The following is a 27,682-nucleotide window of genomic DNA, read 5'->3' on the forward strand; positions in this document are numbered from 1 at the left end:
TCTGCTGCTCTCACTTATCTTTTCATCAGGCCATGTTGCCCTATCTAAAGAAAATCTTAGTGAATGATACTTCACCAAGCAACAGAAATTTTCTGTCCAAGCCAATGAAAGGGATAGATGGAGCTGGACAATTGAAAGAAGGAAAGAGAAGAAGTAGAGAGTAAGAAGAATGAAAGACAGTGCAAGCTAAGGGAAGGGTCAGAAAGGAAACATCAACTGCACCCAGCAGATGAGTCACAGTGCATGAGGCCAAAGTCATACTAATGGCCACATTTCCCAATACATACTTAGATGGTCAAGGCAGCAAATACAGCCAGTGTGTTACTATGTGTCCTGGATTGTGCTGTAAGGGTGCATGAGACACAGTCCTGCCCTACAGATGCTTATAACCTAGCATGGGAGGCAGATTTGCACGCAAACAGGATAGATTTTGCCTTGCCTTAGCAGAAGTAAGTACCGAGAACTGGGAGCAGAGATGAAGAAACTGTTCATATGGGTCAGAGAAGACCTCACAGAAGAGGGTCATCTGAGATGGCTTTGAAACAGGGTAACTCATTCACCATGAAGGCAGAAGGAATGGCCGAACTGAATCATGGAAACAGAAACTAGCAAGGTGTGTGCTTGAGAAATGGAAAGGGCCCTTTATAAATTTCTGAGACGGGGAAATTATCACATTCTCACTGACTCCCTCCTTTTACTCAGGGCTGAGATTATATCTTTAAGCTTTGAATTTTCACATCATACTCATCTGCAGTTACATAGGAATGGTTCTGCCAGGTTCACTCCAGTTCCTAGATCATTTAATGGTGGAATTAGATTCAGGTTTCCTCTCCTCACTGCCCACAGCTCTGTTCAGCCACTATACAACGCAGATCTCTGTTTTACGTGAGGATTCCAAATTACAAAATTGTGTAAAGTACTTTCTTTTTTGGTCTCTATATCCCTATCCTGATCACAATTCAAATGAAAAGTTTCTTGTCCTATAAAATGAGCAAAATTGAATTAATATCTTAAGGAGTTCAGGGGGGCTGTCTTTGAGCTGGGAAAGAACCTCCAAGCCAGCTTCCATTAACATATTTGGAATTCTAGGTGTTTCTTTGAAGCCTGGAAATTTTTTTAACCTGCACAGAACCTTTGTACTGTTGCCTTTAAAGCAGCTACTCCCTTTTATTTTAATTAACAATGACTTCAGCAGGTTTTAAATAATGGTTTGTCTTTATGAAAGAAAACTAGGGTGGAAACACTCCAAATCCACTTATTGGAATAAACTGAGGAGTCACTAAGTCCTTTCCAACAAGATTTAGACAGTTCATTAGAATAAATATATATTTAATCTCCCTCTTTCTATATCATCTTGAAACAGAGCAAAGATACAATGCTGGAATAATGACACACAGTCTGAAAAATATTCTAAATGTATTGAAATCACTGCAGCTCCTTTCACTTTGTATAGTTTCAAAACATTTATAATTTGTATGATGTGTCTATTAAATGCTGCCTAATAGCCAGGAACAGGACAGCACTCAGGAATTTATTGGTTTAGCTAGACTCAAATTGTGCCCAAACCCTGTGAAGGAATGACTAAAGCAATCAGAGGATTCCACCAGAGTCCAAGTTGAAATAACTTCTTGAAAGTTTAAGCCAATCCTCATTCTTATGAAGTAATTCATTCAATTTAGATGAAAAGTATTCTTATTTCCTGAAAGTTAACTGGTTTTAATAATGGATGTAGTCCCTATTCTATTTGATATTTTAGAGATGTTCAAAAAGAAACAAATAACTTTAAACAACCAGGCCTAAGCCATTTAAAGAGATAGCAGATTTAATTTCTACGTCTTTCTAAATCTAGTGTCTAGGGCATCCATTCAGGTGAATCCTTTGATTCCTGCCATTATCCTAGAACAAGAGTAGATGTATGAATTCTTGCATCTGTACTGGTTACTAAACTCTCAGCCTCTGTTCTACCTCCCACAGTCTCTGTTCCCCATAGCTCTGATGCTGACCCAAGGGTTATAGAAGGAGATCAACTCCCAAACCTAATCCCAGAAAGTAAATACACAACGATATAGTATATGCTTAGATCCATTCTTCAGTTTATTGAATCACAAAATATTGGCGCTGAGAGGAATCTTAGAAGCCAACAGTTTCAAACTCTCCGTGGTACAGACTAAGCCCTAAAGATGTTAAGTGACTTTCTCAAGGTCACACAGCTAGTTAGTGACAAAACAGGGCCTATAACCAATCACTTATTATGAGTGCATGCTCTGATCCTTTGCTGCTCGCTGTTGTTTGCAGACCAGCAATATCAGCATCGCTTGAGAGCTTGTTACAAAGGCAGGCTCTCAGACTCCACCCAAGACCCTCTAAAGCAGAATTTGAATTGTAACAAATCTTTTTCTTTTTTTTTTTAAACAGGGGGTGTCACTGTGTCATCCAGGCTGGAGTGGTGCAGTGACACAACCACGGCTCACTGCAGCCTGGTACTCCCAGGCTAAAGCTATCCTCCCACCTTAGCCTCCCGAGTAGCTGGAACTACAGGCACACACTACCACACGTGGCTAATTTTTTTTATTTTTAATTTTATGTAGAGACGGGATCTTGCTATGTTGCCAGGTCTGGTCTCAAATTCCTGGACTCAAGCGATCCTCCCTACTAAGCCTCTCAAATTGCTGGGATTATAGGCATAAGCCACCACAACTGGCCCAAATCTTTAGGTCATTCATATGCACATTACAGAGCTGAAGCTAAGCCAGGCACATTGGCACGCACCGGTAGTCCCAACTACTGGGGAAGCTGAGGAGGTAGGATTTCTTGAACCCAGGAGTTTGAGGCTGCAGTGAGCTATGACTGCGCATGTGAATAGCCACTGCATTCCTGCCTGGGAAATGTAGCAAGTTCTCATCTCTAAAGAATATATTTTTCATTTAAAAACTAAAAGAATGGAAGGCAAGTAGATACTGGTTTGAAGCATGGGTCTACCTCTTCTAAATGTAAGCAAAAATCTCAACCTTCTGAAAGCATCATTTAGAACCTGGAAATAATATCACTACCCACCTTGCAGAGTTTTCATTGTATAAGCATAACACAGATATATGCATGTTCATTTCATGAAATACGTATGTGCATAAATAATACATTCAAAGTGTGTGGCATATAGTAGATAATATGGTATATAGTAGCTAATGTTATTTCCCATCTCATGCTTATCATTAATATTGTGCTTAACCAAACTGAAAGCCACTAATGACTATGCATCCATGAAGGAATCACCAGTCTTCCTTCCTTTGTTCTAATGTGTTAAATATCATTTTAACTTTTATATATGATTAAGGCTTTTTTATTTAATGTTCCTAACTCTCAAGAAAATTATTATTATGTGGAAAACAATAATAGCTAACTACTTTTAGTGCTGTGCTTAGAGAGGAAAGAACTTCTCCCAAAGCCAAGTCATAATAATAATAATAATAATAATAATAATAATAACCCACAACATTCTTAAAATATCTTGACTCTAGAGCCTATAAACCTGGCTTCTCCAGAAGCCAGTGAGTATCAGCTGCCACTGATGCTGTAATTTTCTTAGGCAGAGACTCAACTGCCATGGGCAGATGCCACAACATTGGCAAAAGTGGGGCACAGTTAAAGATGACGTTTCATCACCAACATGTCACACTTGTCAGCATTTTAAAGAAAAAAACAGATTGAAGAGGAAAGAAGAAGTTGAGTTTTAGTATCCAAATTTGAACTAAAATTTTGGAAAAATACAGCATAGTACAGAGTATGAAACCATACCAAAGTGATATTTTGAAGGAGATACTTTTGGGAAAATGTGATTTTAACATCAATTAGAAAACCACGTTCTCCTAAGGCAGTAATTCTCAATCCCGGCAGTATGTTACAATCAGCTAAGGAAGATTTAAAAAGATTGAATGCAAATTTCTGAGAGAGGACCAGGCTCTAGTGTTTTCTTAAAAATTCCCAGTCAATTTTAATATGCAGCCGGGATTGAAAACCACTGCCCCTATGGAATCAAAACCCTGTTGTTATGTAAGAGTCAATCCACTGAGAGCTATTTGTTGCTGTTAACTTCATTGTGTACCTCTTCTAGGTCTTTTTGCCATTCCTCCAGGACATCCACCATAAGGAAAGGAGACCCTGGACCAACATTCTCTAAGATGTTTATATGGACCAGTGGCCGGACCTCTTCATCTTATAGACATGATGAAAAAAGGTAAATGCACTGGGATTCTGGGCACTTTTCAGAAGCATTTAACCTGACTCTCCAAAGAGGATACTGACAGGAAAGTAGTAGGCAACTGAGCCTTATGCTTTGCAATGTGGGGACAGACTCTACAGTACAGGAGTAGGGTTTCAGACACTTTGGCCTTCCTTCTCCTTGCACTTTACATGTTCGCTTTCAGCACATAGCTTTGCAAAAGTTGTTCCCTGTCAGAAATTCCCATGTCACAAGCTCTTTGCTTAGCTAACTCCAGCTCTGCTTTCAGATATCAATAAGAACCACCACTCCCATCATCTTCTTTAACCAAACAGACTATGTTGTTGAATTTCCAGCACCTAGCACTGTACCTGGCACATGGCGCTCAATAAATACTGAGCACCAAATGTATTAATAATAATTTATTAACTGAATTAATTTTATTAACAACAAAAAATAATAAAAATATAATATAATTAATAAAATAATAAATACTGAGAACTACTGGCAATTCAGTTTCTTCTTCTGAAGTGATGAAAACTGCATTTCTGGGCACTGGACATATGGCAGGGAAGGAAAACAGAAAGTATGAGAGGAGGAAAAGAGGACATACAAATCCATTGAGCCCTTAAAATCCTTGGAAGAATAGCCTGGGAGGAAGGGAAAAATGAGGGAATAAGAAGAAAGATAAAGGGCAAAGGCAGCATTAATGAAAGACAAGATGACCTTTGTGCAACTCAATCCAGTCCTCTCACTTGGGTTTAGGGAGTAAATGTATTCATAAAATTCTCTAGTCATTTTTAAATATTTAGTCTTCCTCTTTCTCATTGACCTTGCACTATTATCTGGGTTAAGTGAAGCTAAATTTTAAGTATAATTGCCTTTACCAGCATATTGCAATGTAAGCAAGTTGCGCATCAGGCAGAATCTGATAGAAGTCAGGATTGATTTGGTTGAAGGAAATTTGTGAAAAAATAATAATAAAATAAAAATTAAAAACTACAATTGATAAATGGTGCTGGGCACAAGGAGAAGAACCTGAAGGAGGTTTGCCTGAATACTGTTTTCAGAGCTGATACTTTTATTTTCCTTCTAAAACCTGAATTGCCTCACAGATAAAAATTCTTTTAAAAATTTCAAAAGCAAAGTTGTTCTTCACAATAATTATATATTATAGCAAAAATTGGGAAGCAACTTGAAAATTCACAATAGAAAATGTGCTAAATAAATCACTGAATGTAATATACCACTTAGCACTTTAAAATGCTTTGACACAATATTAACTGAAAAAAGCAAGTTGAAAATTTGCATGCAAACTACGATTGCAGCCACAAAAAATATATATAGGCAAAAGTCTGGAAGAAATAGCATGGTTTTTACTGCTCTGCTTTCCAAATGCTTTGTAACATATTGTTACCTTAATTATGGAAAAAATAATTATATGATATTTAAGTAAAATTATAGCCCAGAAGGCAAATAATGTTGCCTTGTCAGCATTTAAAAAACAAGTCCCAGTGCTCATCATGACACCAAGCAGATTAACTGAAAATTTACTTTACTTGATCATCTCTAGGTTTTCACTGCTTTTTCTCAAGGCTTAATCAAATTATTTTTCATTTGCTTTCAAGTTGAATCATCTTTCAGCAAGATCTTTTCTGTAACACTATAAAATTTCATATGTCATTTCAAATTCTATATTTGAAAGTGCAGAAAGACAGAGGTTTGGTCCTGCAACTTTCATGCCAGGACCAAATCCAAGAGTTTTGTTGCCCTACAGGAATATTGTAACTGTCAACAGCCAGCTGTCCTGAAATTCTGAAGGCTTTATTAGAGCAAGCGAAGTGTAATATATTTCTTTCACCTTCTATTTACTCTCAGCAAATAATTTAATATATTTTGCTACTTTTTATGAACAAAGGAATTAACATTTAAGAAGCAATTACTGTGTACTGTAGGTTTTAATTGTGTTCTCTTAAGATAGATATTATTATGCTGGCTTCACAGATGAGGAAACTGAGGCTTTTTAAATAACTGAGTGATTTTCAATAACTTCCAAAGGCCCAACAACTAGCCAGTGATGGAATCAGGATTTGAACCCAGCTGATGCTCTCTCCCTGTACCCCAGTACCTGCCCAGGCTCTTGTCAAACTTGAAATATTTGGAGTGATAGTGAACAGCCAAGCCCACAAGGGGAAAAGTATGTTAAAATAGAGTTGGATATTGCATATCAAAGAAGATAATAAACATGTGACTGACGTATTGGTAATATTTGTGGAGTTTGAAAGGTGTGAACAATTAGCTTAGTATTCTGCATCAGTAAGATTCTATGAAACTGAAATTACTGTTTTAATTTTTTATTTTTAAAGTATGATTTCAGAACTATGGGATTTATAATAATTAAAATATTGACTACGAAGAAATCATTTTTCAGCTTTATTTATGGGATGGGGATGCAAAAGCTTATTAAATAAGTCTGCATGGCCAAAAAATACAAGCAATAGAATCTGCCATTAAGCAATAGAATCTGCCATTCCTTAGTTTAATGTTGGAAGTTAATTTGTCTGTGCTTTTTTTTTGACCACATCTTCGTCTTTGCTGCTTAATTCACAAACTCTTGGAAGATATGACTCAGATTTTAAACTGACTTTGAGCAGTATCTGTGGCTCTGTTTAAGGTGTTCTTGGTGGCAATAAACATGGTGATAATGAAGATGATGATGGCTGATAATTAATCTACATAATTAAGGTCCTCCAGTTAATTATTTGGAAATAAATTAACTAGATTGTCTGACAGCACTGCCTCAAATTGCTGGTAATTCAGTTTCTTCTTGTTCTGCAAACCTGGCCTCTGTGTGTGCCTGCTTTCTCCAGCTGTGTTCCCACAGCAATCCCAGAAGCCAGGCCATACAAAATCCTCAGCTGCTCTCCACACCTCCTCTTCCTGAGAACAGGGCCAAATGTGTCAGTATATCGGATTCCCTGGGATTCCTCAAATCGTAGAATACCAGGAAACCAGCTTAAGGGCAGGCAGAGAAACTTCAGTGGAAGGAAAAGTTCACTGAAAATTCTGAAACCAAATGTTTTTTTGCTCAGAAGAAATGGAAGTCAGTTTTACTTTTTTTTCCTTATTTTAATTCCAAGCCAGATCTTTTTCTGATCATCTTCTATATACAAAACATAAGGTCCTATCTTCATCTCCCATTCTGCAACCCAGCAATGTGGAGAAATATTTTTTTCTTCTCTAAACAAACTTCTTTGTTAGTTGAACTTACTTTAATCCCTAAATTCCTTTTCATTTTTTTTGAGATGGAGTCTCGCTCTGTCGCCCAGGCTGGAGTGCAGTGGTGCGATCTTGGCTCACTGCAACCTCCGCCTCCCGGGTTCACACCATTCTCCTGCCTCAGCCTCCCAAGTAGCTGGGACTACAGGCGCCCGCCACCACACCTGGCTAACTTTTTTTTTTTTTTTTTTTTTTTGTATTTTTAATAGAGACGGGGCTTCACCATGTTAGCCAGGATGGTCTCAATCTCCTGACCTCGTGATCCGCCCACCTCAGCCTCCCAAAGTGCTGGGATTACAGGCGTGGGCCACCACACCCGGCCCGATCCCTAAATTTCAAGCAGCAAACAAACAGAATAATTAATTTAGAAATTAAAGAAGAGAGAGGTTTTTAAGCTAAGGGCATTACAGACTGTTTATCAAATATTCTTTAAATTGTTTTTTTAAATATTGAAGTGATACAAATGAATATTTATTACATATGTTAATATACAAAGTGATATTATAAACATCCAGGTACCCATCATTCAGTTTAAAAAACAAAACAATCAGAATTTTTGAAGCCCTTGAGGATGCTTTCCCAATACTATTCTACTCCCCATCAATCAATATCAATCAATATCCTGAATTTTGGGCATATCATTCCCCGATTTTTTTTCATGAGTTTATCACATTTGGATCTTTAAACAATATATTGTTTCCATCCAAATGTTTGGAGACTTCATGTAAATGGAATCATGCCATATTTATTCTGCAACTTGTTTTTTTCACCAAACATTATGTTGTTATGATTTACCAATGCTGGCGTGAGTCGCTGCAGTTCATTTTATCTGCTATGTAGTCTCCCACTACATGAACATACTACCATTTATTCATCCAGTCTACTGCTGAGCAACATTTGCATTATTTCCAGTTCTTTTGTCATTGCCAACAATGATGCTATTCTTCTACATGTCTCTTTGTGCACATGTATGAACATTTCTTAAGATTTATACCTAACATGGGAATGGTTGGTTCAAAAGTACACGCAGCTTTAATTTTACCAAGTAATGCCATGGTTTTCCAAAGGAGCCATACATGAGATTCCCATTGCTCAACAGCCTTGTTTAGAGTTTTCGGATTTCTAATTTTCAGTAATCAAGAGGGTATTATTATTTTAATTTTCATTTCTCAGATTATTAATGAGATTGAGTATATTTCCTTAGTCGTTTTTTCTGAGTTGACTGTTTAAATATTTGCCCCAATTAGGTCAAATACTTGACTGTTTAAATAATTTGCAATTATTTCATTAGATTTATATTTAAGTAACATTTTGCAGCAATTATAATCATACCTCTTACCATTTTTCTACTGGATTGTTTGTCTTTTACTTGACTTGCAGGAATTCTTTATAAAAGTCCATATTAATTATTTATCTGCTATATGTATGTAAATAGCTTCTCCCAGTTTGTGGTTTGGCTTTTCACTTTCTTTTTCATGTCTTTTGATAAATATATTAATATGTTCTTAATTTTTTTATTATTATACTTTTAAGTTTTAGGGTACATGTGCACAACGTGCAGGTTTGTTACATATGTATACAGGTGCCATGATGGTGTGCTGCACCCATTAACTCGTCATTTAGCATTAGGTATATCTCCTAATGCTATCCCTCCCCCCTCCCCCCACCCCACAACAGTCCCTGGTGTGTGATGTTCCCCTTCCTGTGTCCATGTGTTCTCATTGTTCAATTCCCACCTATGAGTGAGAACATGCGGTGTTTGGTAATTTTAATATATTCTAAATTAACAATTTTTGGAACACTTTGAAATCCCGTCCTACTCCAGTTTCAAATAGACATCCTCCTGCACAGTTTTCTAAATTTCATGTAGCATTATCTTTCACAATTACGTATTTAATCATCTGGAACTGATACCCAATATCCAGTTTTTATATGGATAACCAATTGCCCCAGCATCATTTATTGGAGAGTTTCTCCTTTCCCCATTGATCTAAAAATCACTTGTCATATATTACATTTCCATATATACATGGATATGTTTTTGAATCTCTATTCTGTTCTAGCGGCCAGTTTTGTCCACCTCAGACAAACACCTCACAACAGTTTACAAATTTTAGCATTATGCCTGTAATACATCTTGATATTTGATAGGACCAGTCACCCATCTTGTTATTTTGTAGTCAGAAGTGTATTTACTATTCTTAGCCACTTGCACTTCCAAGTAAGTTTTAAAATCAGGTTGGCAAGTCACACCTATCGCACTTCCCAAAAAAAACTCTAGGGATTTTTATTAGAATTTTATAAAATTTATTAATTAATTTGTGATAAATTTACATCTTTATGTCACCAAGTCTTTCTCTGAATGAATACGATTAACCTCTACATTGGTTTGTCTTCCCTAGTATCTCCTAATAAAGTTTTGCATTTAAAAAAAGTGTACATCATTTATTAGATTTATTCCTAAGTACTACCTTTGTATTGAAATGGCATTGAATTTATTGACTAACTGAATTGTTTTAAATATTGAGTCTCCACATCCCGGAATATAATTCCTTATTTATTCATGAATTATATCATGAATTATCATGATTGCAGTATCAATCATGATATCATTTTGCAATTATTTCATTAGATTTATATTTAAGCAACATTTTGTGGCAATTATAATCATACCTCTTATGTTATATATGTGTTTTTACTGCTGATGTGTAGAAATGCTACTGCTTTTGTAGTTACTGATTTTTTTCTATCAATCAACCTTGTAGAACTCAGTATGCTTTTAAATAGTTGCTGATAGATTTGTTTTGATTTCCCTATTTGTATTTTCTACAAATAACAATGTTTCTTTGTTTCCAATCCTTACGGTTTTTTCTCATGTGTTACACTCTTACTCTATTGGCAGGAACTTTCAGGATAATATTGTAGAGCAAATCAATTATGATTACTAATATATTTGGGCTGCCTTTTCCAAACTCAAGTTACTTTTTAACTCATCATTTGTTTGTGTAATTTTGGTCTGTTTAATTCAGCCAAACTAATTAAGTCTTTAAAATTGTATTCTATTTTCTCCCATTTGGAAATTTGGATATTTCATTTATGTTTTTAGATAATTACATTTTCATATGTGTGCATGAATTGACCAATATGAAGATAATTAATGCTTTCATTATCCTGCCAAAAAAGAAACTTGAACGACCCCTACTCTCATAACTTCACTACGTTGTTGTTGTTGTTGTTGTTGTTGTTGTTGTTGTTGCTGCTGCTGCTGTTGTTTTTCTAATCGTAGACTCAGGAGGTACATGTGCAAGATTTGTTATATGGGCATATTGAGTAATACTGAAGTTTGGGCCTCTATTGAACCCATCAACCAAATAGTGAAACTAGTACCCAATAGGTAGTTTTTCAACTCTTTTTTCCTCCCTCCCTGCCCCCTTTTGGAGTCCCCAGTGTCTATTGTTTCCAGTTTTATGTCCACATGTACCCATTGTTTAACTCCCATGTGTTAAGTGAGAACATGCAGTATTTGGTTTTCGGTTTCTGTGTTAATTCACTTAGGGTAACAGCCTCCCGCTGCAAATGACATGATTTCATTCTTTTTTATGGCTGTGCAATATTTGATGGTGTATATGTACCACATTTGATGAACACTTAGGTTGATTCTATGACTTTACTATTATGAATAGTGCTTTGATAAACATATGAGTGCAGATATTCTTTGATAGAATGATTTCTTTTCCTTTGGGTAGATACCCACTCCAGTAATGGTATCAATTATGGTTGCTGGGTCAAATGGTAGTTCCATTTTCAGTAATTTGAGAAATCTCCACACTGCTTTTCATAGAGGTTGAACTAAGTTACATTTCCACCAATAGTGCCTAAGTGTTCCCTTTTCCTCTCAGCCTCACCAAGATTTGTTATTTTTGGCTTTTTAATAATAGCCATCCTGCATGGTCTCATTGTGGTCTTAATTTGCATTTCTCTAATGATTAGTAATGTTGAGTACTTTTTCATGTTTATTGGCTTGCATATATGTGTCTTTTTTTTGAGAAGTGTCTGTTCACGTCCTTTGTCCACTTTTCAATGGGTTATTTGTTTTCTCCTTGTTGATTTGTTTAACTTCCTGATAGATTCTGGATATTAGTCCTTTGTCAGGTGCAGAGCTTGCAAATATTTTCTCCCATTCTGTAGGTAGTCTGTTTACTCTGTTAATTATTTATTTTGCTGTGCAGAAGCTCTTTAGTTTAATTAAGTCCCATTTGTCAATTTTTGGTTTTGTTCCATTTACTTTTGAGCACTGTCTTTTTTTTTGTAATGTTTAAATTACACCATTTTTGCTAATATATAAAAAGGCAATTGACTATTGCATATCACTTTGGTTTCAGCAACTATACTAGTTTTTGTTTGTTTTTTGTTTTGTTTTGTTTTTTGCAAAAGGGTCTCGCTCTGTCACACTGGCTGGAGTACAGTAGCACAATCGTGATTCACTGCAGCCTTGAAATCCTGGGCTCAAGCAATCCTCCCACCTCGGCCCCCCATGCAGCTGAAACTACGGGCATGCACCACTACGCCTGGCTAATTTTCTTTTTAGAGATGGTGCCTTGCTGTGGTCTTGAACTCCTGAGTTCAAGTGATCCTCCTCCCACCTCAGCCTCCCAAAGTGTAGAGATTACAGATGCAAGCCACCTCACCCAGCCTAAATTTTCTTATTAATAATTTATCTATAGATTCTTTTGTATTTTCTTCATAATTACATCATTGGTGAATACGCTTTTATTTCTTCTTTACAGTAAATATACTATTCATTCATATGTTATACTGCTAGTAAATCAGTAAATCATGAATAAAACAGGTAATAATGGACATCTTTACTTTTGTTTCTGCTCATAAAATGGATTCTGTCAACATTTCACCATTAAGTATCAAGTTTACTATAGGTATTTCTTCTATACCATTTATCATATTAAGGATGTTCCTATCTTTTCAATTTGATAGGAGTTTTTATCATGAATGAATGTTAAATTTTGTCAAATATGTTTATCTACATTTATTACATTATTATATGATTATAACCCTTTAATATATTATTTATGTAATAGATTACATTACTACTCAAATAATAACCCACATTATAAGTTCCTGGGATAACCACAGCTTGATCATGATATATTTTCATTTTTATATATTGCTAGTTTATCTTGTTTTTAAAATTTCACGTTTATGTTTGTGAAAGATATTGACCTATAATTTTTTTGTGTATTGTTCTGATTTGGTTTTAGTATCAAAGTTTACTAACTTCATTAATAGGTTGGGTAGCATTTCATCTTTTTCTATATTCTGGAATGATTTGTATACTATAAGTACAGTTTAGCTATAAATCATCAGAGACTACTGTTTCCATTATGGTGATATTTTTAATTGATGATTCAAATTTTTAATGATTTATAAGTATTTGAGTTTTCTATTTATTTCTGAATCAGTTTCAGTAAGTTATATTTTTGGAAAAGTTTGCTGTATATTTCAGGAAGTTATAAACTTCAGAGTTTTCAAATGTCTCATTATATAGTTATTTTCAATATTTTCTTTCCAATCCATACCTTATCTGTAGTTATAGTTTTTAATTCCTGATACTTATTTGGCCCTTTTCTATTTTTTCCTTGATCAATTTTTTCAGTTTTTCATTAGTCTTTTCAAAAGAAATTAACCTTTGAACCCATTAGTCCTTTAATATAGTTCATCTATTTCATTTATTTCTGCTCAAGTTTATTATTTCCTTCCTTATACTTTGTTTTAGTATATTCTGTTAATCTTTTCCTAACTTACTAATTTGGATGCCTAGTGCATTAATCTTCAGGCTTTCTTCTTATCTAAGTATTTGAAACTATATATTTCTATCCTTAGAAATATACAGTTTTGCTTTAGCTGCATCCCACTAATTGTTCTAGAGTGTTTTTCATATCATTTAATTCTGATTTTTAATTTTTGCTGGACTTTATTCTATGACCCATGAGTTCTTTGTACTATGGTTTTACTTTCTTCTGTAGATGTCATTCTAGTTATTTTTTGTTATTTATTTCTAGCATTATTGCATTAGAGCCAAATAATGTGGTCAATAAAAAGGCCAGTACTTCTCAAAGTCTCCCTAGGTTATAACACCCTCACTTATCTGGACGATTCACATAATTTTCTGTTTCTTTCTATATCTTGGATTAAAGCTTTTCATAAAATTTAATATGCTAATTGGTCCAACAAAAATAAATATGAATTAAAATATTAAGATATCATTGGGAGAGTGTGTTATCTAATAAGCTAAAGGCAGGACTAAAAAGAATAATTCCAACCTTTGTTTCCATAATTTTGTTCTCACTTTTAGTGTCTTACCCATAAGACCTGGGTCACAGTGTTACAAGACTTCCTGGGAAGTCCCATGAATTAATACGTTGGCAATAATAACATTAAGCTCATGGACAAAATCCTTCATGTTAATGACATATATATATAAATGAAGTGTGACTGTCATTTCTCCCCAAACTCAAAAACACATTGCTCCTGATGAAATGTACACATTAAAAGACCAAAACAGATAATAATAATTAAACTAATCAAATTGTACCATAAAATATATACCTACCAGCTCAAGGAAAAATCTATAAAATCTGAAACTAATTTAAGATGAGGATATATGTAAAAGAAGCACATCTCAAAAATGGAAGAGGCTGTGGTGGACAGAAGGCAGAAGAATGGCTGTGTTCATCAAAGCCATGCCTTCTCTGCCATATGAAATAACAGGTGTGTTCTCGTGGGGCAGAGATGTATAGCAGCTGTGCTCACTGAAGCTCTGAAGGCACTCAGCAATCCATTGCCTCATAGGTACACCTTCATAAGATCTAACAGAAGGGCATGTTTCCCTAAGTCTGGGAACTAGAGGGTTCAGTGCCTGGAGAGTTTGATTTTCTTCTGGAAAGAGTACTAAATTTGTTGGTGGTAGAGTCCAATGGACACTGATGGGAAGATAGAAACTGGAGGTCTGTTCTAGCCATCATTCCCTGATTTATTTAGTTTTAATAGACCATTCAGCCTCCCTATAACTGGCTATCTCACAACCTATGCTTGTTGTAGCCAGTCTAGTCCAAATAAAAGGAACATATTTTGTGAGCCTAATAAATGCAAGAGACTGAACTTACAAAGATGTGGTCTGTCTTTAACTCTTGAACAGCTCAGTATTCACTGGGCCAGAGAGGCACAAACATAAATATTCAGCACATGTAAGTTCTGGAAGAGCTCTCAGCCAAGTAATTTCAGATACATTTAATTCTTCATTTCTAATTCATGCTTTCCCTACTTCTCTTCCCTGCATCCACCAGGTGCCCCATCATGTATCTGATAGCTTCAGGATTCTGCAGAATTCTCTTCTGCCCTTTCCATGTTTTAGTGGCCACGCTGTCTTTTGTTTCTCTGACTACTTAAAGAGTCTCATTAAAACCCATAGTGTTGCTAGTTCTAGACACAAATGATGCCCAGATCTAAATCTATTTGTTTGTTTGTTTGTTTGTTCTTAAGTTCTGGGGTACATGTGCAGGATGTGCAGGTTTGTTACACAGGTAAACATGTGCCATAGGTGGTTTGCTGCACCTATCAACCCAACACCTAGGTATTAAGCCCAGCATGCACTAGCTGTTTTCCCTAACACTCTTCCACTCCCACTCTCCCCCAACACGCCCCAGTAAATGTTGTTCCCCTCCCTGTGTCCACGTGTTCTCATTGCTCAGCTCCCACTTATAAGTGAGAACATGCGGTGTTTGGTTTTCTGTTTCTGCGTTAGTTTGCTGAGGATAATGGCTTCCAGCTTCATCTAAGTAAATCTAAATCTTAATCTCCTCCATCATTTCTCTTTTTTTAAACCCCTCTTTATCTAACACCTGAAACACTGGGAGAGTTTAAGAATCAGTCCCTTTGTCTCCATATGTAAACATTTCTAAACAACCAACCACACTAACACGAGTGATCTTTCTAAAGCACATATCTAATCATTGTACTTGCTTAATTCTTTTAATGCCCCCTCTAACTTCAAAAGACATACAAGATCCTTTTTCTCTGGTGCCTGCCTATCTAACCAGCTCACTGTCTGCCATTCCCTGCCCACAATATCCTGGAATCCAACCACACTCTACTACCTCTATTCTCTTATATTCTGCCTGGATACTCTTCCTTTCTCAATCATTTGCTCGTCCAAGACTTAGTTTGGTCCGTCAAAGGACTCTTAATCATCACCATTTAAATCAAGTTATGGTCCCTAACTGGCAGGCTTCCTAAACCACCTTTGAGCTTGTAAATCATAGCCCTGGGCCAATTTAATCCATAACATGTCTGTAGTTACGGTTTTTAATTCCTGACATTTATTTGGCCCTTTTCTGTTTTTTTCTTCTACCATCGATCCACTGACTGTTCATTTTAAGGAATGCCTGAAAAAGTAATGGCCAATGTGCCTGAAGCCAATTTGCCAAAGAATCCATTTGTCATCAGTCATTTTGATGAATTTATCGAATTTAGCTATATACCACAAATTTTGTATGATCACTGTAACCCTACACAGTTCTATAATAAACCACACTAAATGGAATGAAAACATTTACAGGGGGGCCAGATTTAGGGCCTTCAGACTCACTCCACTCCGTCTCACTCTCTGCAGCCATTGTCTCTCAATCTCTCCGCCCCTCTGTCTTTCCATCTCTTGTCCCAGACACCCTCGGCCTCCAGTCTCCCTTCCTCTCTGTCCCCTGTTCCCCCCACCCCCATCCCAGCCATGCCCTCCTGCTTCCTCTGCCCGCTAGTCTTCCCTCCTCTACCCCTGTGTGTCCCCCTCTCTAGGTCAGTGGGCCAGACTTCGTGTTTCACTGATTCTTCTTTTCAGCTTAGCAGAGGGTCCTACTATTCTTACCATAACCTTTATCAATGAGTCAAGAAACAAATTTTGGTTAATTGATAAAGTTGATAAATCCATCAAAGTGGTCATAATGTGAAATTTGCCACAAGAATTTCAATAATTCTAAAATATTAGCAAAACAGCCAGTGACTCTAAAAAGAATCTGAAAACTAGTAAAAATTGAAAGGTTCCCACATGAAATGCTAAATTTTTGTCATATTTGTTAGAAGGATATATTCACAAACGTATTCAAGAAAGGCATATTTATAAATATATTCATAAGAATATATTTACAAAGAGACTAAGCCTCCTTAGAAAACTTAGCTTTTAAAAATATCAAACTGATCCTAAAATACCACTAAGATGAATGTATCCGTAAGAAAAATACACTTTATGATTGAACAGATTTTTAAAATATAGTCTTAAAATATTCATACAAAAATTTATTTATATTCATTTACTATATTTAAAACAATACTCCTTAAAATAAGTCTTTGTTAAATCTGTAAGTGTCGTAAAGTTGGCAAAATATTTATGTAGTGAGCTGATCCTTCAGTAAACTGGCTTTTTGGGAATTAGCCATTGAGAAACTGATCCTTTAGCAAGTTGGCCCTTGGCGTATCAGTTTGCTTCTCCTGTACACACCTATCTAATCAGTCTCATTGCCATACACTGCAATGACTGACATCTCACTCAGCTCCCTTGGGACTCTAAGTCTTATTTATTTGGTATCGCCAGAACTTAGCACATTGTGTTTCATCTGATGAAGACTTAGAAATGTTGACTAATGAATAAGCAAATTAATTCATAAGTGGCCTTTATGCTGCCTTAACCTGAATACTTTTCTCCTTCTCTTTATAGGATAGCTACCAAGGGAATCTGAATTTAAATGGGTGTGACAGCCAAGGAGGAAAAACTTTCTTTCACATTTTGCTCTTTATATCCATATTTGTATGTGCATGGCCTCAAAAATAATTTGTTTATGAATTATGGGCTGACCCCCAATATCAAACTTCAAGAAACTACATAAAAGGAGCTCAAAATAAAATTTTACTAGGTTGACTAATGCTTGGCGTAAAATTGATTGAAGCCTTACTAAACAATTGAAAATATTTTGTTTACAAGATATTTATCACAAACACTTTTGTTATACTTGGATTTGCCCTGTAGATTTATTAATAACTTCTATTCTCCAAAGGCTTTGAACAGAATGTTCCCTATATATAGTAAAGACTGCACATATCTACTATTTGTTATTGTCAACATGTGGTTCACCCTGAAGCCAAGACTATCTCAACAGACCTTAAATATGGTGCTTTGCCAGGACACACCAAGGCTAGATCAGCTTCAAACTTATAAAGTCAAATTCCTGCTCTACACCCACTGTTGGGCAGCACACTTAGTCAAAACTGAATTTGTAGTCATACCCCAGACTCATTCTTCCTCCTGAGCTCTCCACATCAGTGAATTGTCCCTCATTCCATTATTCTTAGCACTACCACCCCCACCCTCAATTCCTCTCAGGTAGATTCATAAAGAATAGACAGAAAGAACCAAAGGGTGATAAGCTATCAGCCTTGTTAATACTTACATGGTAACTCACACATTACAAGGCTTCCTAGTATGGAAGAGGATACATAGGGCTGTGGCCCAAAATATGGCATCATGCTCCTTCCAACTAGCACTGAAGACAACATGGTGTAGAAGGGGCCAACTAATGCACCCTGTCTCAGGCTGTGAACACCCTCTTTCCCAACTGAGACTTACTACCTTTACTACTTGGACATGCAAAAAACCAAAGCCTGAACAAAAGCAAGTCCAAATGATAATTTTTGTTTTACAAAAATTATGCCACACATAAGCAATGACCCAAAAAACAGAGGTGGCCCTCTGACTGGCCTATCTCACCATTGAGATTAGTCACTCCTCTGCCTGTGCTTAGGACACTAAACTTGTGTGTACTATAAATGTACAATCACTTTCTTCCTCTTTAGCAAGGTCAGCAGAAGTCACCTCTTTGGATCCTGGAAGAGTAGGGAAATACGGAAACAAGAATCTCACCTTTCCACTCTCCATGATTTCTCCAGTCATCCACATCAAGTACTAGAGCATAAATCTAAACTATATCCTTTTTCTTACTTCCTCATCATCCCCTGTATTCTATCAGCCACCAAATCCTGAAGTTCTGTCTCATAGATATTTCTCCATGTATCGTTTCTTCTTTATACATCCTACCTTGATCCTAGATCCAGCCCTCACTGTCCTTTGCCAACACTACAGTAACAATCCCCCCATTCCTCTCTCTGATTTAAGCCTTATCCTGTTTCTTAAACTCTGCACAGAAGCCAGAGTGATCATTTTGAAACTCAATCGTGTCACCCTCTGACAGATTCCTATTCACTACAGAATAAAGGCCAAGCTCTTTAGAATGACTTACAAAACCCTTCATGGCCTACCTACCTTTGCAAACTCATCTGCCTCTTTTTCCCTGTCCCATAGGCATCTCAGTAATATTAAAACAGTTGTAGTTTCTGATATTCACCATGCAATTGCAAGTCTCCATCCCTTTGTTCATGTGAGTCTTTCTGTCTAAAATACCTTTGACTCTTTGTCTCATTTGGTTAACTCTGATTCAATCTTGAAGATTTTGTTTAAGGTGTTTCTCCTTCAGGAACCTTTCCCTAAATTCAACCCTGGCTCTCTGTCCTGCTCCCTCAAGCTGGGGTATCCTTCCCTCTTCTCTATTCCCATAACACTCTGTGAATTGCTCCATCATTAAGTTTTTCACCCCACGCTGATATTTATATACATGTCTGTTTTCCTTTGGGGCAGGGGCCATATCCCCAATAACAAGAGATTACCAGCATTCAGGAGAAGTGTGTGAACCTAAACTGAACTCTGCTCTTCCAAATCATGTATTCATTTCTTTATTTTCCATTAATTCTATAATCATTTACTAATGAATTCCATGGGTATGGCCCACTCCACTCACCCACTTTCATTTTGCTGGGTAGTATCCTGATTTCTCAGATATTTTTGGGCTGTATGAAAATCATTCACTTTTCCCCTCTCTATACATTCCAGAGCATATCAAAAACATTTGTTAACCACTTTCAAATTGTGATTTGTTTTTGAATTACACGTTTGAATCATTTTTATATGCTTCTTGTTCTGATGACACTGATTACACTTCTTCTCTTTTATGGGTATAGGCTGACATAAGTGATGCTGTGTGACAGTCTAATACCCTGGAATTGTGAGATTATGCTCCCTCCTTGCTGTCTTCTATCTGCAGGAAATTCAGATCTCTATGGCAGCCATCAGAGTTAAATACATGTTGATAAATAATATAAGTGAAGTAACAGCAGATTATTATTTTACAGCAGGTCTTTGAAGCTACTCAGACTCAGCCTGTCTCTTCCTGATTCAGAAAAGCTTTCAGCCCACTGGCTTTAGCTGCTAACGGACACTGATTTTTTAAAATTTGAGTTCCTAAAGGGTGAAGTTTTAAAAGCTTTGATGTAAATCCTAGAATTTCCAAACAAAATCTCAAAAAAGAATGAAGAAACACAGAGGGTGGGTGGTTGCCAGTCTGTGGAAGTCAAAAACAGGGCAGGCCAGCTAATCCAGAGGCATTGGGATTGGGAGCTGGGGAACAATGAAAGATATGGGCTCTCCAGGCCTCTGGCAATGACCATGAGCAGCCAAGAGCAAGTGAGAGTGGGAAGAAGCCAGGAAAGACAAGGCCGTGAAATGATGATAAACAAAGGCCTGTATTTAGCTCTGACTCTCCTACTACAATGGGCTCACTTCTCAAGGAAAGAGTAAGATTTATACAAACCACCTCAAAAAGAGAACTTTAAAATAATAATAAGAAGAAGCTAATCAGTTAATTTTGCACAACCAATACTTAGATTAATAAATACTCGGCCCTACAACCTCATGGAAATATATTAAGTACATACACACTCCATCACCTCTATAAGGAATCAAAATGTTTAGCAACCAGCCCAGAAGGGATCAGCCAATCAGAACAGATACTGGCCATAAACACCAGTCAGGCCATCCTGGAGCACAAAGCTAAATATAAGCCCTGAATAAACACACAACTGCGCAAACAACAGGCATATCTTCCCTCCCCCGCAAAGTTCCACTTTAGAGTCAACTCTGGTTCCTCTCCCAAGCAACAAGAGCGATTAGCCATAAAAATTTGAATGAAAAATCTGAAGTTATTCTTGTGCATATTGGCTTTTTGCCTGAAGCTAAAAAAAAATGACTTCAGTTTCTTTTTCCATTTTCAGCATTTTATTTGTCCTCCTTGCTGTTTCTAGGCTCTAAAGGCCAGCGATTTTCCCATTTCCACTGCCCTGCAATCCAAAGCTCCCTTCTCAAAATAGACATTGAAAAATCATGAGCTGTTTCTTGGTCACAGGCCTTGCAGGAATTCCTGAGCATTGCCTTCCTACTCAAGCTTCTCATCATCTCCCCAAGCACCCAGCACTTCCGCATTTCTTTTCTACCTTCTCCTCCAGACCTGGTTTCAAATCCAATCCTCCATCCCCAAGCTTTATACACTACTCATTTTCTTGCCATTTTGTCCATTAAAAATTCTCTGTAGAATAGTAGCAATTTTAGGATGTTCTGATGTCCGTGTCATTGAGCTGTAGCTCCCCACCCCATTTTTGAATGGGAGCATTTATTACTAATCTCTTGTCACTCATTGTCTTTTTTTTTTCGAGATGGAGACTCGCTCTTTCACCCAGGCTGGAGTGCAGTGGCATGATCTTGGCTCACTGCAAGCTCCGCCTCCCAGGTTCACGCCATTCTCTTGCCTCAGCCTCCCGAGTAGCTGGGACTACAGGCGCCCGCCACCACGCCCGGCTAATTTTTTGTATTTTTTTTTTTTAGTAGAGACGGGGTTTCACCATGTTAGCCAGGATGATCTCAATCGTCTGATCTTGTGATCCGCCCGCCTCGGCATCCGAAAGTGCTGGGATTACAGGCATGAGCCACCACACCCGGCCAAATCTCATGTCAGTCATTCTCTTAAATAATTTGCGTGTATCATGTCACTTAGCCATTAAAATGCATTTAAACATTATTTTCACTTTGCAGGCGACTGGGGATCAGAAAGACTAAGGCACTTGTTATTGATCACACAGCTAACAAGCAGTGAAATCAGTCTGAACTCAGGAGACAGTTGATTTCAATTTCTTGTTCTTTCTTACCCTACATTGCTGCTCTAAAATAAAAAACAAAAATACTAATAAAATTGTCCAAAGTTATAGGGCCTGGGCTCGATTTGAATGACACTTTTCTAACTCAATCGAAAGTTTTCACATATAAGAATAGCTGGGTCACCACTCTACATCTTCACACTGCTTATCAATCTCAAGCCAACAAAGCCCTAAGCAGCTCTCAGCTTGAGAAAAATGTTAACCAAAATAACTTCTACCTATCACTACTGAAGAAAAATGAAAGATTAATTTGATATATTCCTAGTATATGTTGCCATTTATTTGAATCAATGCTCCATTAGGTATTCCAAAATTATCTAAAAATCAATAATGATCAGATTTGGGTTAAATGGTAAAGTCAACAAACCCAAAGCATTATTTTGAGGGTTGAGGGGATTGGTTTCTTTCTTTAGAATTAGATAGAAGGAAAATTAATTTGCAGTTAAGACATTGGCCCCAGAGTAAAGAAGGAGGGCTTATTTCTGCTCAGGACTGGTACACATACAAGCGTGCATGTGCTTGTGAGTGTGTGTACATGCATGTGTGTGCTTGTGTGGGAGGTAGTGGACACACACTGAGGTCCAGCTGCACTGAAGCAGGTTTGGAGGGCCCTAGGAAGGCATGGGCAGAAACTGACCTGCTCTCTAGGGGCATGCTGATTAACTAAACTTAATGTAAGACCATATTGTTTTTAACCTCAGAAATATTTACCAGAAAATCAGGGACCATGACCTCCTGGACAAAAGGAAAACAGTCACAGCACTGAAGGCAGGAGAGGACCGAGCTATTCTCCTGGGACTGGCTATGATGGTGTGCTCCATCATGATGTATTTTCTGCTGGGAATCACACTCCTGCGCTCATACATGCAGAGGTAATACCACTGGGTGGGTGGGACCCTGCTGTTTGTCTCCTGCTCCATCCTCCCCCATCACTTAGGCAACCCTAAGGTCATCTTCCTCACCTTCTTTCCTGATAAGAACTTTGAGAAGTTCCTGGTAAATAATACTTTTCAATAATGTTATCTAATAATAATGATACATATAGCTCTATGTATAATCTGGATACCAGGTGTCAAAGACTTCTACTTCTTTAATTATCACAATTACTCTATAAGGTAAGTATAAATATACTCATTATAAAAACGGCAAAACTGAGGCTCAAGAGAGATATGATTTCCCCAGTGTCATACAGCTCTTGCTTGTGGCAGAGCTAAGATTCAAGCCCACATCTCGCTTATTCCAAAGTCACTGTTCCTGCCACTTCACACTTCTGTCCGTTCCCCACCCTCCTCCCTTTTCCACCCCAACCAACCCCTCCCTCACCTTCCACGTGAGTGGTTCTCAACTGTATATTCCAATTTCCCCAGAAACTCTTAAAAATGCTAATACCCAGCCCCCATCATCATCAACCCAGAAGGTCAGATTTAATTGGTCCGGAGTGGGACCCAGTCACCAGTATCTATTAAAGCTCCCCAGGTTGTTCTAATGGGCCTTCTAGGCTGAGAAACACTGCTATGCATCAACTTTTAAAAATAACAGATTTTGAATCTTTTCATTTCAATATTTGCTGTAGGTGTATTGAATGGATAGGGAGGCAAATAAATTGTGGGATAGCAAGTGTACTCCTGTCCTCAGTAAGCCATGTAGTAAATCCCACCAGCATCTCTAGCTAACTGTTGTCCATAAATTGGACACTCTAAACACAGGCAAGCCCAGCCCTGATGTATCGAATGAAGTCTCACAGCAGTTCAGCTTAAAGAAACAAGACCTTTTCAAATGAAAAATTGAGGTTTCAATCCAAAAGAAAATGAAACCATTTTGTGGCATTTGTTTCTCCATCTAAATTAATACTTTCATTTTAGAAGCAAAATCTAGCTGAAATACAGTAATTTGCTGAAATTAAGGCATCGTCTTTCACATTTGTGGCTGCTCTGCTCTGTTTCTCTGATGGCCTTCAGCTGTGCTCATTTTCTATGAAAGTGCTGATGCCTCAGGCCCCAAGTGGTCGTTGATTCCAAAATGCTTTCAGCTCTTCACATCTGGTTAGAACCATCAGAGACTTTTTCCTCAGTATATAAGCAAAATGTGACCACCCATGTTCCAGGAAAATACAGTTTGCCACACCAAGGGAGGGGATCAGGTCTAGTATCCTGCTTCTGGAATAAAACTTCACACATGCAAAGGGGTAGGAAGCTGTGGATGCCTGTCCAACAAAAGGAAAGCGTATTAATCTGCAAAGAAAACATGTTTTCCCATTGCTATGGTGATCAGCTTATACCCAAAACCAAACCATCAATTGCTGGTGTGTTAATTCCTAATTACAAATGTTAATCTTGATCATAAAATTAAAGGTATTTTTAAATGACCAGTTGACCAATGGGCAGCTGGAATCCTTCCAGGTGAGAGATAACAGGGCACCCTTATTCATCCATTAGTCTGCATAAAAGGGTTTCTTTTCCATTGTGTTTGTGGGGAGACAGCAAAACACAATAGAATGAGCCTGGGCCTTAGAGAATTACAAGATTGGATCACAATTTCCAACACTTACTGCCCATATGTCCTTGCATATGTCATGGGATTTCTCAGTTCACTCACTTTTAAAAAGAAATTACTACCCAACTTGCACAGCTGTTGAGAGAACAAAAGAAGGTAATGTATGTAAATTACCAATTAGGGTGAAAGGAATGTGCAGTAAGTGATTGCTCATGACATAATGAAAGGGTTGAGTTATCTTTTTTCCCTTATTAGAAAGACCTTAAGGCATTCTGTCACTGTCCTTCCATCTCTGTCAAGCTGGACCACATGACCCTCCACTCCTTTGCCATCTCTCCCCTCCTTCTCCCTCACACCTTCTGTGCCTACAAACTGGGCTGGGGAGGGAGCTGGGATGCAGAAAGTACAAAGTAAAACATACAGAGGTAGGGGCTGGAGCATGTCAAGAAGCTGCCTACAATGTAGAAATACAGGGTGAGGACAGGTGATGATTTTAAAGTATGCCTCATGTTACCAGTGAGTTCCATAAGGGAAAAAAGAACTTAAGTCAAGCACTGGAGAATACCATATCCAATGGAAGTCATTGAAAACGTTCTCACGTGTCCACGTTTGTCTATGTTATACGGTAGTTTGCTTAAAGCTGTTCTATTCGAAGGCCTAAACTTTACACAGATAGATCATATTAGAGATTTAGAAAAGATTTTTCAGCTTCAGGAGATGAGAAATAATTCCCTCGGACTATACCTTTCTCACTATTAGCTCTTGGGCCTGTGTTTACTCTCACCCCTTTCTCTGCAGCGTGTGGACCGAAGAGTCTCAATGCACCTTGCTGAATGCGTCCATCACGGAAACATTTAATTGCTCCTTCAGCTGTGGTCCAGACTGCTGGAAACTTTCTCAGTACCCCTGCCTCCAGGTGTACGTTAACCTGACTTCTTCCGGGGAAAAGCTCCTCCTCTACCACACAGAAGAGACAATAAAAATCAATCAGAAGGTAGGAACTTGGCGTACTGCATTTCAGTTACCCCACAGAGCTTCACACCAGGCTCTCTGCCTCTGAAGTTCCCCTTTGCCAGCATTTCAAAGGAAAATACTTCCAGGAAGCAGAGCCTGCCTCTTCCATTCAGAGAACTTGCTATGTGACTCTTGCCTAGAAAATATTTATTTTCTGTGCAAGTTGTGGACAAATCATTCCTACATTTGTGGTAGTGCAGATTTAGCTTTCACTTCCATTTGAAAGGGTAAATATTAATATATCTTTACACAAATAGACTGAGTCTTTCAAAGCAAGTATGCAACTTAGAGATGTACAAGACAAAACCATGTGTTTGTCCTGTACCTGGGAACCATCAGGTAAAGGTGTATTCTGTTTGTCCATGGTCAATGTCATTTAGTTCTGTGACCTCAGGGATATAACAACCTTTCTGATCCTCAGCTTCCTTTTCTCTAAAAAGTAACAAATGGCCACCTTGCAAGGTCCTTATGAAGATGAGTCCTGAGCATGTACAATGTTAAGCAGAGCATGCTACTTTCAACCCATGGTCACTGTGTGTGTGTGTGTGTGTGTGTGTGTGTGTGTGTGTGTGTGTGTGTGTTCTTCACATATGTTATATTCATAGAGGCTGAATTTTCCAGTCCACTAAGATATTCAAGTCCACATGGTAGATATTCAACGAATGTGTATTTTATTAAAGCTTTACATAAAATTTACATTTATAAGGTCTGGGATGACCAGGAAGGTGTCAGCAGAACCAACTTGCCATTACAATTTTAAGTTAAATATATTGAGTTTTGGATTTGTGGTAACAATTCGATATGCAGAATAATCTCATATGCCAAGACAACTCGATGCCACTCTTGGCTCTTATTACCAGGATAAACCCTTCTGACCTCTAATCTTTCTTGTAAAAGCTTTTCTTTTCATTAAATTGTCAGCACTTAAATGATATAACTTATAGTTATTGAAAAAAATGCAGTAGATTCAAGGTTCAATACTAGCACATAGAGAGTGAATGGGATTTGTTTCTGATAAACCCACCTTGAACTTTTGTTACAATAACTTAAAGGAATTCTTGCAAATATCTCTGAGGACTCAACATAATAAATATTTCAGAGAATGTTGTTTGAAAATGCTGGCTCTGATTTTCTTTCATTTGTAGTAGCCACAAATAATACCAGTCCCAGCGCTGTGCTGCAGTATGTAAAGCCTAGCTCTCTCACAAAGTGCTTGTCTTTCAAGATCTTCCCTTAAGTCAGATCTTAAAATCAAAGCTGACCAGTAATGACAAATGCCTATAAAACTCTTAAACCTGAATAGGCATCAAAAAGTGGGACATATTTTCATTTCCTCATTTTGACAATTTATCACTACAGCCCTGTGAATGCATTATTTAGGCTATAAACGGAGAGGGAAGCTACCAATAAATGTCCCAGATATGTATTCAGGACTGGTACCTTATTTGCTCTCAGCATAATACTAGGTCATCATTTGTTTTATTGGCCCCACTATCTTGTTTTTTAAAGTAAATTATAACATACAGAACTGTGCATGAAATGAAAAAGTACAGCTCAAGTATGACAAACAGATTCGTAACCACCGTGTAACCACCTTAAGGGTAAAGAAATACAACATTTTCTGTACCCCAAAAACACCCTACATGCCCCCTCTCAATAACTACAGGCTCTGCCTCCACCAAAGACAACTATCCTGACTGTTTATGGCAATTACTTTCTTACTTTCCTTTGTACTTTTATCACCTAAGGATATATCCTTAAACATATATATTTTGTTAATAGTTTTGCCTCATTTTTAAGCATTATATAAATGGAATCACATAGAATACTTTCCTTTCTGTCTGGTTTTCTTCACATAGCGTTATGTTTGTTAGATTTATTCCATTTGGTTACAGTTCATTCATTTTCATTACTGTATCATATTCCATTGTATGAGTATGTCTGTTTATTTATTCATTCTACTGCTGATGGACATTTTGAATTGTCTATAGTTTGGGACTACTACAAGTAATTCTACCATGAATATTCTCATATATGTCTCTGGTGCACAAGCACACACACTTCCATCGGGTATAAACCTGGGAATGGAATATTTAAATCATAGAGTATCCATATCTTAAAGTTAAGTAGATAATGCCAAGTAGTTTTCCAAAATGTATATGCAAATATACATTCTCACCAACCCTATGGGTATGAGAGTTCTTACTGCTCCAAATCTTTGCCAACATTTGGTAATATCTGTAATTTTAATTTAGCTAATGTAGTGATATTTCCTCATGATTCTGATGACTAATGTTATCAAGTGCCTTTTCATTTATTTATTGGCCATTTGGGTATCCATTTTGGGCAGTGTCCGTGCAAGTTGTTTGCCCATTTTTCTGTGGAATTGTTTCTTCTTTACATTCAATATAGGAATCATTTAAATATGAACCTCTGTTGGTTATATGTGTTGTAAATATCTTCTCGCATTATGTGGCCTTTTCACTCTCTGAATGTCTTTCAGTGGAAGAAACTTCTAATTTC

The 27,682-nt window shown here is 37.3% G+C and overlaps 1 protein-coding gene and 1 long non-coding RNA gene across 6 annotated transcripts in view, besides 1 other annotated feature; one reads left to right on the forward strand and one right to left on the reverse strand.

Moving 5' to 3' along the window:
• KCNMB2-AS1 (KCNMB2 antisense RNA 1) overlaps positions 1-27,682 on the reverse strand; it is a 334,939-nt gene that overhangs the window by 277,768 nt on the left and 29,489 nt on the right. The gene's annotated exons all lie outside the window — the stretch shown is intronic.
• KCNMB2 (potassium calcium-activated channel subfamily M regulatory beta subunit 2) overlaps positions 1-27,682 on the forward strand; it is a 307,994-nt gene that overhangs the window by 266,799 nt on the left and 13,513 nt on the right. For all 4 annotated transcript variants that reach the window (XM_011512325.3, NM_181361.3, NM_005832.5 and 1 more), the window contains 3 exons: positions 4,109-4,231; positions 22,354-22,524; positions 24,944-25,139. In XM_011512325.3, coding sequence (XP_011510627.1) covers positions 4,176-4,231; positions 22,354-22,524; positions 24,944-25,139 — 423 coding nt within the window. In that variant the 5' untranslated portion in view covers positions 4,109-4,175. The remainder of the gene's footprint in view (positions 1-4,108; positions 4,232-22,353; positions 22,525-24,943; positions 25,140-27,682) is intronic.
• Positions 24,064-24,596: an enhancer, noted in NCBI's record as "NANOG hESC enhancer chr3:178545086-178545618 (GRCh37/hg19 assembly coordinates)". NCBI's record gives its function as "activates a minimal SCP1, AML or CMV promoter by ChIP-STARR-seq in naive H9 embryonic stem cells {active_cell/tissue: H9 hESC(naive)}" and the evidence as "EXISTENCE:reporter gene assay evidence [ECO:0000049][PMID:30033119]".

Source organism: Homo sapiens, chromosome 3 (genome assembly GCF_000001405.40).
Source record: "Homo sapiens chromosome 3, GRCh38.p14 Primary Assembly".
Classification (NCBI taxonomy): domain Eukaryota; kingdom Metazoa; phylum Chordata; class Mammalia; order Primates; family Hominidae; genus Homo; species Homo sapiens.